This window comes from Homo sapiens, chromosome 13 (assembly GCF_000001405.40).
Source record: "Homo sapiens chromosome 13, GRCh38.p14 Primary Assembly".
Classification (NCBI taxonomy): Eukaryota; Metazoa; Chordata; class Mammalia; order Primates; family Hominidae; genus Homo; species Homo sapiens.
In genome coordinates this window covers 78,963,029-78,984,097 of record NC_000013.11, presented here as the reverse complement: position 1 = coordinate 78,984,097, position 21,069 = coordinate 78,963,029, and the positions used below count along the sequence as shown (strand labels likewise).

Here is a 21,069-nt window from a genome sequence, read left to right as displayed (position 1 = left end):
GCAACCACGGCAAGAAAGGTGATGTTCTGTTCCTACCATCTGCCAACATGGAGCCAGCACATGAGGCAGTGCGGTTCCTTCTCCAACTTTTTCCTCCTGGTGACAAATCTTTAGTCAATCCCCTGCTCAATAGTATTTACACGAGATGAGGTAACAGGAGAGGAGAAAAAAATCCAAATAGGCACAATTTAAAGTTTTTCTGTTTGCTAGTAAAGCATCTCTGATGAAAGTGATGTAGCCAAAACTTGGATTTTAAAACCAATTGCTTATTTAAAAATTTCATGGAATACTAGTCATAACATAAATGTCATTATTTTATGCACTGACAATTGGGGCAGAAATCTGATATGTTAGCAGAACCTATTTTAAAGTGATTGCTAGAATATCTACAATTCTAAATGACATTTCAAGAAGACCAGAGGCTTCTGGGTTTTGGATTAAAGGGGAAGGAAAATTCCATGGACTGCCACACTCACAAGAAGCCAGAGCTGCAGCAAGGACAGTGTATTCCCTTTTCTTCAACTTTTAAAATCTCTGTTGTTTTCTGAGCCTAGGGGTGAATAGAAGAAGATCAAGAGGCAGTGATGTGTCATTATGATCTCCATTTCATACACAAAGAACGGAGCTTCACAGTGGTTAAGTAACTTGGCTGAACTTACACCAGCATGAAGATTCAAATTCCAGTCCAAAACTTATGGAAATATCTATTAGAGAAGCCTGTATTAGTTCTCTACCAGATATATTTTCCTAGGTAAGCCACCTTTTTTCTTACCTCTCTCTCTCTTTCTTCAGTGTCCTCTGAGAGCTCCTAACTAAATGTTTTATACACAGTGCATGCTTTGGTTGAGTGAAATAATGTTTTTTTGAGAAAATCAAAACCATAGTTATGTGTCGCTTAATGACAGCGATATGTTATGGGAAATGCATTGTTAGGTGATTTCATTGTTCTCATATCATACAGTGGACTTAAACAAACCTAGATGTTATAGCCTACTACACCCCAAGCTATAGGGTATAGCCTATTGCTCCTGGGCTACAAACCTATACAGCATGTTACTATGCTCAATACCGTATGTGTGAATCTAAACATATCTAAACACAGAAAAGGTAATGCATTGCACTATAACATTATGACAACTCATATTCCTGTCACTAAGTGATAGGAATTTTCCTGCTCTATTGTAATCTTATGGTACCACTATCAGATAGGTAGTCCTTCATTGACCAAAACGTCATTATGTGGTCCATGACTGTACCTGATTATGAGTATTTCCTCCTTGCTGACCCTTATAATAAAAATATACCTTAAAAAATAATGCTAATATGTGAATTTATACTGTGAAAATTATATTCCATACAAGATAGCTGTCAAACATTATGAAATAAAATACTACAGAACTTAGAACCAGAGGCTACTAACCTAATTAGTATACTAAGCAGGAAATATAAATGCTTATGCTATATTGTGAAAAAATAATTGAAAATAATGGCTAGCCACATTTTAGAATTCTACAAATGATAAAATTATTTTATCTGATAAATGTTAAGGTGACAGGAATATTGTTAAGCAAATGAATTAAAAAGATGAATTTTAGGGAATTCTATAATTTCAATATTACCTGCTAGAATTGAGCATAAAGCTTTGAGTATAGTTTAAATTAGCTACTTTAGGGTTGACTAGGAAAGGCAAAGTTTGCCTTATACTGCACAGTAGTTTGTTCCAAGTATGTTCTTCTTGTAGCTTAATAAAGACAGCAAGTTTAGGAGTCCTAGGGAGAGGTTAAGAGGCGCAAATAAATAAAAGGGCAGACCAACTACAACTTGCAGTGGTCTTTAAATGTGGCCCAATTTTGAGTGTTAGAAACAATAGGAAACAAACAAAAAAGCCACAGAGACCCCAGAATGAGAATGTTGTATAAAGACAGAAACCACATCTTTTGGTCATATGTGCCTCAAACTTGTGCAGCATCTGACCTAAAGCAGTCATTTAGTGAGGAAACAGTCAATAAATCAAAGAACTAGACAGGGAGGCTGAGCAGCATAGAACCTTCTAATAAACCTAAGCACATCACAGTCTTGCTTAAAACCTTCACGGTTTCCCATCACCAAGTAACAGAATTCAAATTCTATAGTTGGGCAAACAGTTTCTGACATAGCGCCTACCTCCTCTGCCGTTGCATCCCTGACCACTGCCCCAGTGCTCCAGCAATAGTGGGTCACTGGGAGATCCCTCCATAAACTGCCCACCTGCTACCCCCCAGTGTTTTCAATCTCCCCACCAACTTCTGCCTGCATAATATACTTCTGTTCCTTTGCCAAGACTCCTCCTATTTTTCCCCCTCCGTTTTTCTACCTTTGTTACACTTATGAAACATACATACTCTCCTAGAATTAGCTATGTATGTTTTCGCCTGGGAGCTGAGTCTGACTTATCTTTGAATGCCCAGAAATTCACAGGGTCTGGTTGCAAATGGGGCACAATAAAAGATTTTTGAATAAAAGAATAAAGTGCTGGAAAGAAAAGAGAAAATGTGAGACTCAAACAGGAAAGGAACTGATGTACAGCTGGATATGCAAAGAGGGTACTCTGAAAAGACATGATTTCCCAATTCTGTCTTCAGTGTTTCAAGTTGAGTCTGCATAAGACTAAAACAACTTGCTTTTTAAATAAAAAATTAGTTACCTGTTATTTGGCAAAGGAACAGGTACTCATTATGAGCCAAAAGATGTGGCAGTGTCATCCTGTTTTTACTGATTATTTTCTTTTACTTTTTGAAAATGTTAGACTTGTAGAAAAGTTGCAAGAATAATACAAATAATTCTCATATCCTAATATTAACATTTATCATGTATTTTTATAAATAATGTAAGAATTGTAGGGATGAAAACTCCTTCCCTTTAAATACTTCAGTTTGCAATTCTTAAAAACAGAAAATGCTCTTATCTAACTACAATACAATTAATAAAGTCAGGAGACTAACACTGAGACAATACAATTACCTAAACAACCAACTTATATTCAGATTTTGCTAATTGACTTGATGTCTTTTATAAGAAAAAAAACACAAAGTCACACTTAACCATCGGGTCTCTTTAGTCTTTTAAAATCTAGAACAGTATTTACTATTTCTTTGTGGCTCATGACAGGGACATTTTATAAGCCAATTATAAGGTTGGTCTAATGTTTCTTCATGATGTTAGATTTAGGATTTGGGCTTTTGGTAGGAATAACACAAAAGCAATACTTAATTATCAGTGCTTTCTCTCAGGAAGCACAAACTAGATTTGTGCATTTGTTGGTGATGTTAACTTTGAGCACTTGGTTAAAGGGAGATTTACCACGATCCTCTACTTTCAAGTCTTTAAAAGTGGAGAGAAACTATGATATTATATCAATAATTCTTCTCAAAATTTATCCACTGGTTGTAGTCCATTAATGATACTTTCCTGAGTCAATTATTATTATTAGGGCTGCCAAATGGTGGTTTTTCTAATTTCATAATTTCTTTAACATTTATTACAAATGTTGCCTTCCTATTGTTAGAAAACTTCCTTCTCATTCATATGTTTGTTTATATGTTTATATTAACATGAACTCATGGAGTTTTACCCTATCCAGTGGGTACAAACTTTTACTGTCATTATTTATTTTGATTCTAAATGGTCCCAGACTTGTCTGGTGGGGGCCCCTCAAGCTGGCTCCTAAATTTCATTTATTTCATTTTATTTTGAGACAGAGTCTCACTGTGTCACCCAGGCTGGAGTGCAGTGGCAAGATCTCGGCTCACTGCAGTCTCTGCCTCCTGGGTTCAAGCAATTCTCCTGTCTCAGCCTCCCAAGTAGCTGGGATTACAGGCGCCTGCCACCATGCCCAGATAATTTTTGTATTTTTAGTAGAGACGGGGTTTCACTGCATTGGCCAGGCTGGTCTCAAACTCCTGTCTTCAGGTGATCCACCTGCCTTGGCCTCCCAAAGTGCTGGGATTCAGGTGTGAACCACCATGCCTGGACAAATTTCACTGATATTTAATCAATTTTCAAGTGGTTTTCTTTGCATCTTATATTCACATCCCTACCAACCTCACACTTTGATCTTGTTGTTCTTTTAGTTTTGTAAACACTGCAAAGCAGCCATGTATACCCTTCAATGAAGAAGGATAAGTAATCACAAATTAGGATACTCTTAAAAAACTTGTCTTTGAAGACTTTATTCTTCATAATCAAATTTTACATAAAGCCAATCCCAATATCAATTTAGGGTGATAATGTAGGACAGTAACAGCAGCTGAATTTTGTGTTTTAAAGCAAACCTGCATTTTGATTTTTTTCCGATTATTTCATTCTCGATCACTTTATTTGCAGATTCAGAAAAGCCTGAATTTGCAAAAAGTTTGTTTCGATCATCATAGGCAAGGTGAAATAGAAAGTCGAAGAAATCATCTCGGTCATTACGGTAAAGTACCACTTCTTTCTGTGGGTAAAAGTATTCTTGGTTTTCTGTTTGTTTTCAGGGCTGAGAGTGTATGTGTGGGTGCAGAGGGTGGGCAGTGTGGGCGTCAGATGGAATAGGGGAAGAGGGAGAAGGTAGTGTGGGAGAGGGCCACCTACCCTACCCAAGAAACTTAGCAGGCTACAATGATAAAGTGTAAAGAACAATTACTCAATTAAGATTACTCTGTCTCTGTAAATCTACTTGCCTCTTTAGACACATTTAAAATATTATAGGATTTTAAGGTTTCCAGGGCTAATTTTAAGACACAAACCCCTAAGCAATGCACATGAAAAAAACAATACCTTTCCTTTGGGACTACCTTTTCAAACTCCAGTGTTTCAAATACAAATTACAGCAGATACATTTATGAAATGAGTGGCCATGGATCCTCTAGAAGTCCTTCAGCTAGGATGCTCAGCTTGGTGGCAAAGGTATGTTAGCATCCAGCCAGGACTCCAAAAGCCGTGATCCCATAATTGATCCGACTGAGACTGTGGAGGAATTTAAGCATAACATAATCCCTCAAATCATCTTTTGGCCCCAATTGCATGTTAACAGTTGCACAGAAATTAGGCTACACGTGTATTTATTATTTTGCAGCTTTGCAGACACAACAGTATATTCCCCCATCTGATTTATTTGATTGACAGAGGCCTTGTTTCGGTTGCTGGAGCTCCATTTCTCTGGCTCTAAGAAATTCAGAAAGTGGCAACCAGGGAAAAGACAAGCAACCAAATCTCCTGCTTTCACAACTGCAGTGCTGTCTGAGCTTGTGTCTGGACTATCATATACCATTACAGTTGATCAAGCTTAAAAAGCAAACTCAGATTTTCAAGCAAAGCAGTCACTGGAGTACATTTATGGATCGTGTTCTCATTCCAATACAGTCCCCAGGGGAGAAAGTGAACAGCACCAGGAATGGATCTGCTGTTTCCCTTCAATATAAGTTTTGCATAATACAGAAATGCTAGTCTGTAAACAATATGAACACCTGTCATACACATGACAACCAGAAGGTGGCACAGTCTTAACATTGACCAAGTTCTGTCAGCTCTACTGTTGAATCCAAGCAGATTTGTGATAACTGCTGATTGCACTATATACATTCATTTATGCATTTGTGTCTGTCCTCAACTACATATAAACAAACCTCTTCCTATGCCTGAAAACTGAGAACTCTTTGCTTGTTTCCATTTTCTTTTTATCCCCTCTCCCCTCCCCACCTATACAATTAATATTGTTTTGGTTTAAGCTTCAGAGGACTTGAATATTGCTCTGTATTTATCTTCCTGTTAGAAGCACTTGGTTCATGAAACCTAAATGGAGCCTCATGATTTGCATCTTTCTTATGTCTTATTTGTAACCGATTGCCATCATGAGAAGATCTTAATTTTATATTCATTCATTAGTAGAGTTTCATTCAAATAGTAATTAACTCTTTGATCAAAACTAACAAAATGAATTACTAGTATTGAGTGGTGTGCATTCATATAATTCAAAAGGAAATTATAAATTTCTGATGCGTTAAACATTAGATTTATATTGCAGGTTCCATTATAAAGAAAAGGCCATGAATTCACTAGTATTTTTCTTTCTTTAAGAGAAAAGAGAGCATGCCTTTGTATTTTATGAAACTGGATTTATTAAGATTCATGAGAGGCCTTAATGGTAAAAATGAACAGTGTGTAAAAAAGTTGGCAACATTTCATCACAACCTGTGAGTGCTGGCAATTGGCATCATTTTTATACCCAAAACGTACACTTCTCATGGCCACCAAGTAAACTCTTTAAAATTAGTTACCCTTCAATTGTGAATAAAACCAATTTCCCTGATGTGAATTCTTGTATTTATTATTTCTTGTTCATTTAGGTGGAAGGTCTAGATTGAAAATGGACCTCCTGTTTTCCAATATTTGGGACAGCTCCCTTCCACATTATCCCTCCATGCTTCCATGCTCACACCTCTCCACAAATGGGGGAGTTCCCTGTAAATTGTTCCTTTCACTTGGCCTTCTATGCATTCTCTCCTTCTGCCTCTGCCATCTGGCAGCCTTCCTGCCCCCACATGATGTCCTCTGTCCTTAGTCCAATATGCCTGTCAGAATGCTTATTGGGAGGGCAACCCTCTCCAACTGGGAAGCATACTTAGCCCCTACGTATAGGCGGCATCTAACATTGGTTGAACTAAACCATCACTTAGTCATGGGGAGTTCAAATAGCAACACAGAGAAAAGTCTATATTTACTTTTTAATAAGCATAAATCCTGAAGCGATGACTCATTCCTATGAGCACCCTTCCCTACTAAGTCCCCCTTAAAAAAAAAGGCACCACTTAAAAACCAGATTCTAGATATTTCTCTTTACAGAATATGAAGAAAGTAGGCTTAAGTGAAGCCAAGTGGGTAATATATACAAATATACATCTTTTTCCTTGTTGGACATTTTTGAAGGCTATTTTACAGGTATAAATAGGTCACACCTCAGAGAACCTAAACGTTTTATCTTATATGCCCTAACCTCAACCTTCTAGGCTTTAGAATCAATAATGGCATTTTTTTGTCCCCTCCGGTTCCATTTCTACTTAAGCCATAAACCACAGAAATGGAAGCTTAACCTCATACTGGCTGTGTGACATTTTGACTCTCCCCTCAGGGTCCTGAAATATCCCAGCATATGCCCATTCTGGCATAAATCAGAGAACGGCAAGCTCAGGGGACACCATATGGCCAAACGCCTGCATGTTACATTGGGGCATGCTGAGGCTTCAGGTACGCCCAGCTAGGCTTAGATCTGGTGTTGGTCTCATGGGCCAGAATTGAATTCTAAGAAGTCCTCTGGGGAGGACAGTCCAGCCTATGGAGGGCTGAGAATAGCTACTTCAACCTGGAAATGTTTCAAGAATCTACGCTAATTGAGATTGAATTGTCATCCTCTCATGTGAATCATCAACTACAGTCCTCTTCTGCTCAAGGATAAGTGGTGAAGTGAAGATTTACTTCTATAGGGGCCAAGTGGAGACAGTGCTCCACTCCTCCCTGACATAGCCTGGGTGCTTTAGGAACCAGGAGGTTTTCCTCCTCTCCAACTGAATAACACCATAGTAGGTCTAACAGATAAACGATAAAGCCTCAGGATTCTCATGCCAGTATACAGTAGGTGCTAAATAATGTTAAAGCGAACAAATAAGCTCTCAGGTTCCATGAAATTAAACGTAGGTGGTAGAAATAAATCTTGAAACTTTCCTTCTGCTCCCTCTTCTCTCTTCCCTGTGTCTTATAGATTCTGATTTTCTATTTAGCTCCAGAGTCTACATCAGAAGTTGTAGATTTCTTTTTGTGGAGATGTTGTTGAGGGTGTGATAAAGAAGGCTGGCTTGCAACAAAAGTCAGGAGAGCCCTTATGCTGTTTCCTTAATAAAGTATAATAATTCAAATCAATTAAATTTAAACTTCTTAGTAGTATAATATAATCAATTATGTACGTGAAAAATGAGGAAGACAAAGTAGATACAGAAAGGAGAATTTGGGGCCAGGTGCGGCAGCTCACACCTGTAATCCCAGCACTTTGGGAGGCCAAGGTGGCAGGATCACTTGAGGTCAGGAGTTCAAGACCAGCCTGGCCAACATGGTGAAATCCCATCGCTTCTAAAAAATACAAAAGTTAGCTGAGTGTGGTGGCATGTGCCTGTAATCCCAGCTATTCAGGAGGCTGAGGCAGGAGAATCGCTTGAACCCTGAAGCCAGAGGTTGCAGTGAACTGAGATCGCACCACTGCACTCCCACCTGGGTGACAGAGTGAGACTGTCTCATAAAAAAAGGAGAATTTGGAAAGGAATGGAAAAATAGAAAAAAATGTGAGGATGAGAAAGTGGGAAAGAGGTAGAGAGTAGGCTGTGATAATGTGTACCAAAGAAAAACAAACACGCAATTAGTTAGGCCAGTGATGTTTTTGAAGGATTGCTTTCCTCACTGTGCTTGAGTGCCCTCATTTGTAAATGTGTACTTTCTTCTGAAAACTGTTGTGGAGATAATATGAGTTTGGTGGTGAAAATACCTGGTATTGGCACATGGCATATGGCAAGCCCTCACAAAACTTAGCCATTATTTTTCTTTCCTTATGGGTAAATCAATATGATAAGGATGGCACATCTTTACAATTTAATTTTTAGATTTAAGGAAATTACAACAAAGATCCCAGTGGGTTTGGAGTGGAGGGAGATAATACAAGTATTAAATTCATTCAAAAGAATAAAACAAATAATTAAGAACCCTTCAAAAAATAAAAAGGATTCAGGTGTTTGTTTTTTGAGACAAAATGTCTCGCTCTGTCACTCAGTCTGGAATGCAGTGGCGGGATCTCCGCTCACTGCAAGCTCTGCCTCCCGGGTTCAAGTGATTCTCCTGCCTCAGCCTCCTGAGTAGCTGGGATTACAGGTGTGCACCACCATGCCCAGCTAATTTTTGTATTTTTAGTAGAGATGGGGTTGCACCATGTTGGCCAGGCTGGTCTTCAGGGGACTTCTTTTACTTGTTATAAAACAGACTAATAAAACTGCAGCAGTGGAGGAAGAATTACAGAAAAATCAGCAAATTGAAGATATAGTCTTTCAGCAGACCTAGGATAACTTCTTTTCTAATAAGAAAGTATCACATACCAAATGATGTTTAAAAACAATTGTTTGGAAAGACCTCAGTGTCCTTTTATGTCACTCACTATTATGTGAAGCATTTTATGAAGTCTCATTTCTTCCCCACTGTCAGGTAGTCGTATCTTTTGGTTTGCAGGTGAGGAGATGGAACTTCACTCGTGTGATACTCCCTCTACTGTTTGAGGTCCCTCCTTATTTTACTCTCAGTTAGCCTTTCCTTTTACAGATGAAATCATTTTAGTTAATACTCAACTGGCACTATGAGCCACAATAAGTATAAAATAAATTGGTGACTTAAATGTAAAACCTGAAACCAAAACAAGCTAAGAAAATACAGTGACTATTTAATTGATCTCAAGTATGTAAAGGACTTTTAAGCACAAAAGGAAGGAAAAGGAAAATAGATATTTTAAGTGAAAAAAATTAACTCTTGTATGTAAAAGAGTCATAAAAAATAAAAAGACCGTTGGCAAATTGGGAGAAATACTTGCAGTGAATGTAACAGACACAGAACTACCATCCTAAATGAATAAGAAATATTTGAGGCTAGTTAGAAAATCCTCAATGTGCCAATAGAAAAGTAGGCAACAACTATTAACAATTAAGAAACAAAATAGTTAATATAATGGACAATAAAGATATAAAAATTACTCAGTAGTAATCAAATAAAGTTAAAATGATTTTTTCAATTACTTGTTATTAAAGATTTTTCAATTTCATAATGAACGTGGGACAGCCCTGTGTTCTAATGTTCAGCAGATAAGAATGCAACATAAATAGACTTTCTTTTCTGTTATTGTTATTTGTTTTGAGATGGAGTCTTGCTCTGTCTCCCAGGCTGGAGTGCAGTGGTGTGATCTCGGCTCACTGCAACCTCTGCCTCCTAGGTTCAAGTGATTCTTTTGCCTCAGCCTCCTGAGTAGCTGAGACTACAGGTGTGCACCATCACGCCTGGCTAATTTTTTTTTTTTGTATTTGTAGTAGAGACGGGGTTTCACCACGTTGGCCTGACTGGTCTTGAACTCATGACCTCAGATGATCCTCCTGCCTTGGCCTCCCAAAGTGCTGGGATTACAGGTGTGAGCCACCACCCCAGGCCAGAAATGGACTTTCTAAAAGCTGTTTGGCAATACATGTTGTCAGATGTATTTTTAATATTCTTAATTTTTGAGCCAGTAATTTCACTTTGAGAAACAAACTCCAGAGAATTAATTACATTTTGGGGCAAAGACTTTTTTTTATAAAATGAAAAATAAGCTAGATATAATTTCAATGTTTATACATGGAATAAATACATTAATATGTGGAATATTATATTTGAACTAAAAATAATGTTTTCAAATAATTTTGAAAAAATGATAATAAGATAAGGTTAATAGAAGAGTGTGCAACATGATTTCTGTTATGAAACATATAATCACAAAGAAAAGCTAGAGAGAGGACTGGATCATTTTGATTTTCTGTTACTTTTTTTTGAAAATTCTATAAGAAATTTATTTTACTTTCATAATTTAAAAAGGCGTTGATTTTTTTGTTGTGGTCTTACTTTTTCTAACTCCACACACTTAAGACACAAGAAACATGCAGAGATAAAAAAATAAAAGTGAATAAGATTGAATATTAGGATGATGAGAAAATTACTGGAGATCATTTGCATGAATAGGGCAGAAATACATTTAATTATGAAGCATGGGAGGGAAAAGAGAAGAGTTAGGAACAAAAGAGAAGAAGATACAGAGGCAGACTGAGACACTGAAGGCTTTAATGTAAGTAATTTTCCAGAGTCATACCCCAAAATTTACTGAGACCCTGGACTTCACAAGGCATCTGCATTAAAAAGTGACTAGGTTACCACTTTGCTCTCTTGTTATTTAAATCCTTACAGTTAAGCTGAACTCTGAGTAGATTTTTCAGAGTAGCAGAGAGGGTGCAAAGTATGCTCTGGTTTGAAGCAGCCATACCAAAGCTACCTCACCCTGGAGGCGAGAAGAAGCTAGTTCAGGGCTTCCCTGGCCAGAGGGTCCAGCTATGTCAACATTCATTTTCATCTTTGGTCTGAAAATCAGAAGACTGCTCCATCCTGAAACCACTCACCTGAAAATTGTTCCCAAGAGGCCATCATGTTTAGGTGCTATTCTGATGGCTTATGAGCTGTACATGCCATTTGTGGCAAACTGTGGTAAACTAATGAGAACTGGACCCATGGTGTCCATTTCAAAGATGGCGGCCATTACTAAGCTCCAGCAGCTGCTTCCATGTTGAAAGGTGAACTCAGCGTTGCCTAATCTCCTAATTGCTGTTCTGTTTGTTTGTTAAATATTGAGCTAGGATTCTGGATTTCGAAAAATGATAAGTCTGTCAATTCTTAAATTTGGCAATTATTTGAAAATATTAAAGCCCTGTGCTGGGCAATTTTTCGTGGGTTGAACAGAATATGCCTGCTGGTCCCAAAGACTGCAATTTGAGACTTCTGTTCTATAATGTTGAGTGTGACTTAACGGGCTCTATTCTAAAAATAATGCATGAGACTCTGAACAACCAGAGGTGGAAAGATGGAAAAAACACATTTTCTGCCCTTAGGGAGTTTCATGTCTTGTGTAGGAGAAAGACCTTTAAGAGGGCAGGTCACAGTACAGCAGTGTGGTATTATTATAGAAAACAGAACAAAGTACTGTCTAATGTAAGGAGGTAGTTTTGTCCCAGGGAATAAAGAGAGGCTTAATGAGGGAGGTGTCACTAGAGCTGGTGTGTTCCGTGATTCCCAAACATAAAGGACCCTACAAAGTTTGGTTTGCTTCCTGAGGGAAAGAGGTCATTTGAACTGAAGCCAAAAGCCAACTGTTTTCTGATCAATGGCAGTTTTCTTAGGGGAGAAAAATAGTTCAATCCTCTAAGTAAAAACAGGAATTAAGGAATAATAGACCAAAAAAAAAAAAAAGAAAAAAGAAATGGACAGTGTTGATATGACGGATAATAATAATAATAGAAAATATAAAAGAAAAAGAAGCTCCAGGACGCTGAACATGTGCATCAGAAGAAATTTAGAAAATGACAAGTGAGCTTATAATGACTTTTAGAAATGCCTTAAATCGCTGGGATTATTTGACATTTGGTTCCTTGCAGAGGAAAGGTGAGCATTGTGGTTAATGAAGGGTGACTCAGAGTCAACTTCCTACTTTTTCTAGCAAGGAGGAACTGATGATCAAAAATACATGTCTGTATAAATATATGTATAAATTATATATAAAATACATGTCTGTATAAATATACACACACACATATATACACACACACACATATACACACACACACACATATACATGTAAAATACCTATATAGCTTTCTCGCAGGATATAGACTGTATACAATTAGTGGTTCATTGCAAACTCTAAATGCATAGTAAGCATAATTATAATGCTATCATGTTTCCCATATTGAGTTATTTGGGGGATAAACTTTTTACTTAATGTCTTACTTATGAAACCCCAATAAAATATCTGTGGCATGTATCCTTTTGATCACTCTACAAGTCTTCCAGAAGGTATATTATCCCTGACTGGATCAGCCTGTGTGCTACACACTCAGCAGAGAGAAAAGAAGAGTTATGAATAAAAGTGGTTACATTATTCTTGCACACAATTAGCTCATAATTATCCTTCAAAGCAAATATGATTACCCTTTTCATTCCACACATAATTCTTATGTTGAATATCGCCAAATTGGGACTTTGAATTCCATTTCAAGGCTTCCCTTGATGCTAATTTTAACCTGAATTCATTTAGATAAAAATGTCCGTGGGACAAGAAAGGGACATGCAGCATGATTTGCCCTGAACATCACTCTTCTAGAAAAGAAATAATACCAGTACCCAAGGACATTATACTGGTTAGGATAGGCTAAGTTATGTTGCAGTAACAAATAATCCTAAGACATCAGTGCCTTAATATAACAAAAGTTTATTTCTCACATTTTATATGACAAATTTTTCATTCACACATCCTTCCTTAATCACTGCAGCAAGAGGAAGGGGATGGGTCAAATTATGAACTATTTTTTAAAGCTTCTGTCCAGAGGTCATCCAATCCTTTCTATTTCATTAACTGAATCAAGTCATGCCCACCTAACTTTGAAATGGGTAAGGAAGTGTAATCCTACAATACACCTGAAAAGAGAGAAGAACTGTAATATTTATGAACAATTCTGGGGGTTATTATAGGTATAATCCTTTGTGAGAGAAATTTTCTCTTTAGATTATTTCAGAGTATAAGTTAATAGCTACCAGCCAATGAGATGAGCTGCTTGACTCACGTCTTTACTCATGACTCAAGAGGACACACGCATGACTTAGAAGTACAAAGATGAAAAGATTATCCTTTTTCTCAAGAATCTTGCAGGCCAGTGATGAGGAAAGAGGTAATGATATGCATGTGAGGAGAGGCAATGTCTCAAAATAATTTCTGAGTTGGAGGGAAGCACCAGAAGCAATGGGATTATGGGAAAGAGGAAAGACTTAAGAGATATAGAGAGGATAGAACTTAAAGCACTTGATGACCAATTAGTTACTGGGCACAATACAAAAGTCTTTGATGCTTCCTAGACTTCTGATTTGGTTAATTGTAAAGACATTAGTATATTATTCAAGAAAGGAATGGCAGAGTCAAGGACAATCTTGAGCAATAGAAAGGAAAATATAGGAATTTAATTTTATCCAAGTCCTTAAGTACTGATGGGCGGATTTAAACAGTGGCGTCCAGTAGATGTCTAAAAGCACAGAGGTCTGGGCTAACAGCTATTTATGTTTAGTTGAACAACTATTTATTGAGTGACCACTGTATGAAGTACTTTGCAAGGTGCTTTGGCTACAAAGTTAGATAAAATATAACCCATGCCACTGAAGAATTACGTTTAGTGGAAGTACAACAGATATCAATCAGGTAATGATCCTGCAAGGTGTCCTCTATTATAAGATGCGCAGGGTAGTCTGGGAGACCAGTAGAGAGGCCTCTAACTGAGCTTAGAAGGGTGATTGTCTTTATTATTCAAGGATGTTTTCTTTTTTCCTTTTTTTTTTTTTTTTTTTTTTTTTTTGAGATGGAGTCTCGCTCTGTCACCCAGGCTGGAGTGCAGTGGCGCGATCTCGGCTCACTGCAAGCTCTGCCTCCTGGGTTCAAGCCATTCTCCTGCCTCAGCCTCCCGAGTAGCTGGGACTACAGGTGCCCACCACCACGCCTGGCTAGTTTTTTTTTTTTTATTTTTAGTAGAGACAGGGTCTCACTGTGTTAGCCAGGATGGGCTCAGTCTCCTGACCTCGTGATCTGCCCGCCTCAGTCTCCCAAAGAGCTGGGATTACAGGCATGAGCCACCATGCCCGGTCTATTCAAAGATGTTTTCTTAAAGGTGATTTCTGAGCTGAGTGTGGAAAGTTGGATAGAAGATCTTTGGATACTATAAAGTATGGTAATTTGCAGTTTCTGGAGTTATAATGTCTGGTTTAGGTTTTGGGCTTATTATTTTCTTTTGTAAGTCACTTAAACTTTTCTGTTCCTTGGTTTTCTCATCTCTAAAATGGTGATTATAGTAGTTCTACAATACCTATCTCAACGTAGTTCTGAGGATTAAATGCAAGGGTCCCTATCAAGACAAAGCTATTGCTAGACATAGTAAGTGCTCAATAAACATCAACTATTATAATTATTATTTGTAGAGGCAGGATGGGGGAAGACTATTACAGACAACAGATATAAAACAAATGTTTATGAAATCATAACCACAGGGTTATTTTGGATAATTATAAGTAGTTTACTACTGTTAGAGTTTAAAACGTGAGGCAGGGAGTGGCAAGAAAGGAGCCTGGAAGGACTGCCAGAGAGGAAATAACACAGAGCTAGGAATTATTTCATAGAGAGTAGCAGCTAATTATAAGTTTGAAGAAAATAATAGATAATCATATTTCTATTGCTAAGAACTCTACATAGGAACTGTTTGGAATTGTAGGGGAAAAAGAAAGGAAGCTCATAGTAGGGGTATATTGCAATTTTGTAGGTCAGAAATGGATTAAGATTGAATTAAACAATAAGAGTACAACAGACAGAAACAGTGACTTGAGAAATACTTAGGAAGTAAAACCAGCAAATCTATGTGACAAGATAGGGCCAGGGTAAGAAAGAGGGATGATTTTATCAAGTTTTTTCCTAGGGTCTCAGGAGCATGATAGTACCACAAACTGTGTATTTTATAATGCAAAAAGAGAATCAGGTTTAGGGGTGTTAGTGGTGTATTTTTAAGACTTTTAAGTGGAAATACTCAAATGAGGATTTGAAAATTTTTAGACCTACAGATAAATAATTTAAATGTCAATAGCATATAGCCTTTAAGCCAAATTAGGAGAGTAAGTAATATTCAGGAGATTGTGTTGAAAAGGAAGACCAGTAGGCTGATGATAAAACTCTGGTGAACACCAACAATTAATGGGTGGGGAAAGCAAGAGGAACCCATATGGGAAATGTAGAAAAATGGCCAAAAGGATTTTCATTTCTTAAAAAGAAAATTTTGTTTACATGGGAGCTAAGGGAGTAGCCATTCACTAATTTAAATAATAAACGTATTGAACATCTAATTCTACCCAGTACTGTGGCCACCAGAAACATATTCAGAAAAGAATATTAATAATGTGAACTAAAAATTGTCCATTGCCTTTAGCCATAAAGAGTTTCACTGACCAACTGAATTAGAGCAACTTCTGTGGATTGTTGGAAGCAAAAGCATAAAAGCCATAGTATAAAGAATGAATGGTAGGTATAGAGAAAAAGATAGTAGGAGTAGATAAGTTGTGTATAAGCTTACATATGAAAATATGTAGTAAAATGAGAAGAAATCAATGACAAAAATGAGATCTTGGTGGAAGAAGAAAAAACAGTGAGGAGGACAGAGAAGGATCTACCAGATTCAGATTGAAAATGTGAGAGGAGTTGCACAGTAGAAGGCAAATTGTGAGAATTTAAAAAAATAAGTTATAAGATTTATTTCAGATAGTTGCAATATTTTTTACTTATGATTTCTATTTCTCTATTGATAACTTTCATATTTCTACTCAAGAATGTTTGCCTTTATCTGATGGAACATACTTATAATAGATGCTTTAAAGTCTTTGATAATTCTAACATCTGGATCATCTCAAGATTGGCACTTATTGATAATCTTTCCCTTTGGAATTTGTCACAATTTTTGAGTACTTTGTAAATTGAATACTTTTGTATTGCAACCTAGACATTTTAAATATGTTGTTTACATTCTAGGTTCTATTAAAATCCTCAGGAAAATATACTTTTTTTTTTTTTTTTTTGGTGGTTGTGGTGGTTTGCTTGGCATTCACCAAGTTAGGTTCAGATTGCAATTTCTGTCTCACTTTATGGAAATGATTGTTCCAATGTCAGTTCAATTAGCGAAGCCTTTGATATGCCATTTGGGGTCCACTGTGAGCATGTACCACTCAGAGGTTAGTGTAAGACCTAGGTGATATTTTAAAATTGAGGTTCCACTATCAAAACTTTTGCTGTGCACTTTTGGATCTATCCTGCACAAGTACACTTCGAGAGTAAACCCAGAAGCTAAACTTGTTTATTCGCAGAATTAGGGGACTCCTTTCTCCAAATCTCTCATCTCCAGGATTTCCCCCACACTTTTCAGTTGGAAGGGACCTCTTTCCCTGATCTTCAGGCCAAAAATATGGAATTTAACTTGGGGCTAAATTCCTTGCTGCCTTTGCATACTGAATAACTCCAATGATTGTGGCCATCTCAGGCAAGAACAAAGACAGAAAATGGGACTCATCCTAATACTCTCCTGATTGAAGAGTCCCCTATAACCTATTCATCAAGCCAGAAGGATATGGTTTCTATTGGAGTGTAAGCTTTATAGCACTGCCCACAATATGGACACCACTGGAAGTATCATTTCCACTCTTATCAAGCCATGAGAGAAAAAAATAAAGGATGATTCCCCTCATGTTCTCTTGCTCATAGAGGCCTATATCTTAGCCTTCTAGAGATAAAGACAGAATTATCTCAACATGTTAGATGCCCATAGTGATGTTGTGTCAGGTTCACTGGAAGCCTGTCTTGGCTCAAGTCCATGATAGAAAAAAGAGAAAATAAAAGGGAAATTAACTTACATATAAATCATTTTTAAATGCCTTGACATCCTTCCCCAATGTACCTGCTTTTGTTTATTTTTCAGAGTCCTCAAGTAGTTGCTTTTTGTACTTTGAATAAAGACTTTAGTCATAGTAGGAGAGATAGACTGTAATGGACTTACTTCACGATGGCTGCACCAGAGGTTCCAAGAACGAGTAAGTTTTGGGGTACTAGGAGAAACCCCAAGTGAAATGTAAAGCCTGAAAATTATTTACTGGACATGGCTGTGAGGAAACCATTTGAGACTTACACATATTTAGTGGGGCATAGGGCCAGAAACTGCAGTGGGGTGAGGAGTGAATAGGGAGTGGAAAAGTGGGGATGGGTGTGGACTATTAAGTTTGGTTGTGGAGGAAAGTTAGAAAAAGGGCAATAATCGGGGGGATGAAGATTGAGAAACATTTAAAAGTAAAGAGGATAGAATGTGTGCCCAAAGATAAAGGTCAGTTGGTAGATTTGCTGGTGGTAAGATGAGCTAGTTCTCTTTGATTTTCTATTTTTCTCTGTGACATAATATGTGAATTATTAGCTGAGAATCAAAAGAAGAGGAGTTGAAGGCTCAAAAAGAGAAATGTACAAAATTATCTTGATAAGAAAGAAAGTTAACATTCCAGTGAAAGATTGTAAGATTGAGAAGCAGTGTTGGGGGGAGCCACTTTTATGTAGTTTTAACCTGAAAATCAATTTCATCCAATCTTCTAGCTCAATACTTTCTTGTCTTCTTGTCCTCTAGTGGCTTTCAACTTCAACCCACATCTAAAACACACCACTGTAGCCACACCCTACACCCTGTGGTTATCCAGTTGTGAGTCCTATTGGAGAGATGAGGTACGTCCACTGGGGAAAACCTAAGGATGAGAGGTACAGAGGTTAGATGAAAACATGAAGATACTATCCTCAAGGTTATTCAGAGAGTCATAGAGAAAAGAAGAAAGCGATAGTTAATAAGGAGACTTAGGTTCCTTAGAAGGAAATTAACCAGCCATCAAACTGATGATGTTTAGATTGGAAACACAAATGGATGATGAGTTAACCAACAGAACTAAATCAGATCAGGAGTATAAAACTGAGGAGTGAGGAGGGAAGCCTGACAAGTGAGGAGGTACAAAATGGCCACCCATGGGCATCTAGTTGATCATTATTTCTACATAAGCTACTGTACAACTCACAGAGTGAGGATGGATGCTTACAAATAACAGACTGGAATGAGCAACTCAGAATTGCTGCACCTCTAAAATCAAATCACAATACTCCATGCTCTGCCTATAACCTACTATCCTTTGCTATTATTGTGTTTGCTATTCATCTGCATCAATTCTTTTAATTCTATGAATTTTGTTCCCATCAATTGTTCCTAATCGATCAGCCCATTCTGGTTTAACTTTTGTTTTGTTCCCTTCCTGAACACTGGTCTTTCATTTCAATCTTTCTTCCTGGGCACCCACAAATCTCTCAATCCATTTTCTTCCTTATGTCTGTCCTTAAAACAACTTCCCTCCACCTTCAGATTAATCTAATCCTCTGACCTCTACTCTCCTACTCAAACTATTAAACACAGCTGAAATGCCTTCTATTTTAGGCTGTTACTCACATCTTCCATCCCAGCAGCTTATTCATACCACCATCTTCCGTCACCAGGATCACCACCACTAGCCTTATACACTTGACTATCACTCATACCTATTAGAATCAATTCTCTACACATCAGACAAACTGAGCTTTATAAAACACAAATCAGTTTGCATTACTTCTTTGCTATAAACATTCAAAGACTTGTCATTTCCATTAGGACTCTGGCCTACACAGGCCCCCATGATCTGACCCTGCCTGCCTCTTCCACCTTTGCCATAACAATCTCCTCCTCTTTCCTGGCCTTCTTGCCATTTCTTAAAAATGACATGCTTATTCCTATTTCAGGCTGTTACACTTGCTCTTGTCTGCCCAGAATTCCACACACCTTCTCCATCTTACGCAGGTCAAGCTCAAATGTCACCTGTTTGTCTCTGTAAAAAATGGAATCCCTCCTTCATTATTATCTTTGCCTTTATTCTGCTTTTTTTTTCCCCTAGTGCTTATCACTCTCTGAAACTATGTTATTTGTTTGCTTATTTCTTTGCTGTAGCCCACACCAGATCAGGAACTCCTCAAAAGCAAGACCTTAAAACTATCTTATTTGGCTACCATATCCATAACTTATAAAACAGTACTCAGCATACAATAGACACCAGGTAAATAGTTGTTGGATCTGTTGAATTATCACCATGAAAGCTAAAATCCTCTAGGATAATGGTGGGAGTCAGGGTGAGAGTGAGGTGTCAATGTCACCTGATGAGTTGAAGAAAAGATAATTTTACTATTTGAGAGAAAGGACTGAAATATGATATGCTAAGGAGTTGTTGCTGAATTTAAATTTTTTTAGGGAATCTATATTAAAATATGCTGTATATTTGATATTAGACCTAGAGGTCAGTGTAACCCATTCACAGGGTTTGCAAGTATCATTTGTGTCATCCTCAGTTTTGCAAATAAAATGTTGCACTTTTAAAAGATAAATGTAAGTAGCTTAAGCAGAAGTAGTTAGGTATATTTTTTCACTTTTTCTTTTTGGTCCAGATCTGGCATGGTTCCTAGACATGTGAAATTAGTGATGTGGAAAAATGTAAATATATAGCTAATGCAATAAGCTTCACAAAAATATTTTGTTCTATACAGTGTTCAGCATTTTAACCAGCTCCATGGATTTCAGTAGGAAGTCTCAAAAATGTATCATGCCTTTTCTGTATTTTATAGGAAGAATATCATGAATTTAGCTGGTATTAGAAAGTAGAACTTGGAAAATAGAGTGTAACTGGAAAATGAAGGGACTTAACTGAGACAAACAGCCTCTTCTTATCCATTTTTAAAATGTTCAGATTTAACTAGATGACCATGACCATGAAGAACTTCTCAAGCTCTTTGGTTCTACAGGTGTATGACAGTTTCCTGGAGGGGGTCATATGGATCTACTACTACCTTCCCACTGACATTAGGCAGATGTTCATTAGATTGGTTTGATAGATGTAATGGTTAATATTGAGTGTCAACTTGATTGGATTGAAGGATGCAAAGTATTGTTCCTGGGTGCGTCTGTGAGGGTGTTGCCAAAGGAGATTAACATTTGAATCATTGGACTGGGAGAGGCAGACCCACCCTCAATCTGGGTGGGCACAATCTAATCAGCTGCCAGCATGGCCAGCATAAAAGCAGGCAGAAGAATGTGGAAGGAGTAGACTGGCTCAGTCTCCTGGCCTACATCTTTCTCCCACGCTGCATGCTTCCTGCCCTCGAACATTGGACTCCAAGTTCTTCAGTTTTGGGACTCTTGAACCTTTGACCACAGACTGAAGGCTACACTGTTGACTTCCCTACTTTTGAGCTTTTAGGACTCGGACTGGCTTCCTTGTTCCTCAGCTTGCAGACGGCCTATTGTGGGACCTCACTTTGTGATCATGTGAGTCAATACTCCTTAATAAACTCTCCTTTAAATATACATCTATCTTGTTAGTTCTGTCCCTCTAGAGAACCTTGACTAATACGATAGGGAAGCCATAGTGACTGTCACTAATATTCTAATAAAAGAATTATTATCTATGCCAACTCTGGAGAGCCACAGGTAAGCTATACATAGATCAAAGTGTAAACCAGGGGTTCTCTGAGTGTGATTCCTGGACCAGCAGTATGTGGTGACATTTGAAATG

General features: G+C 37.6%; 1 long non-coding RNA gene across 1 annotated transcript; it reads left to right on the top strand.

Annotated features, from left to right (window-relative positions):
• Positions 1-566: 566 nt before the first annotated feature.
• LOC105370273 (uncharacterized) lies at positions 567-20,861 on the top strand. Its single transcript, XR_942108.4, has 5 exons — positions 567-751; positions 4,363-4,453; positions 17,376-17,487; positions 18,066-18,160; positions 20,245-20,861. It is a non-coding gene; the product is annotated as an uncharacterized LOC105370273 (long non-coding RNA).
• Positions 20,862-21,069: the final 208 nt, after the last annotated feature.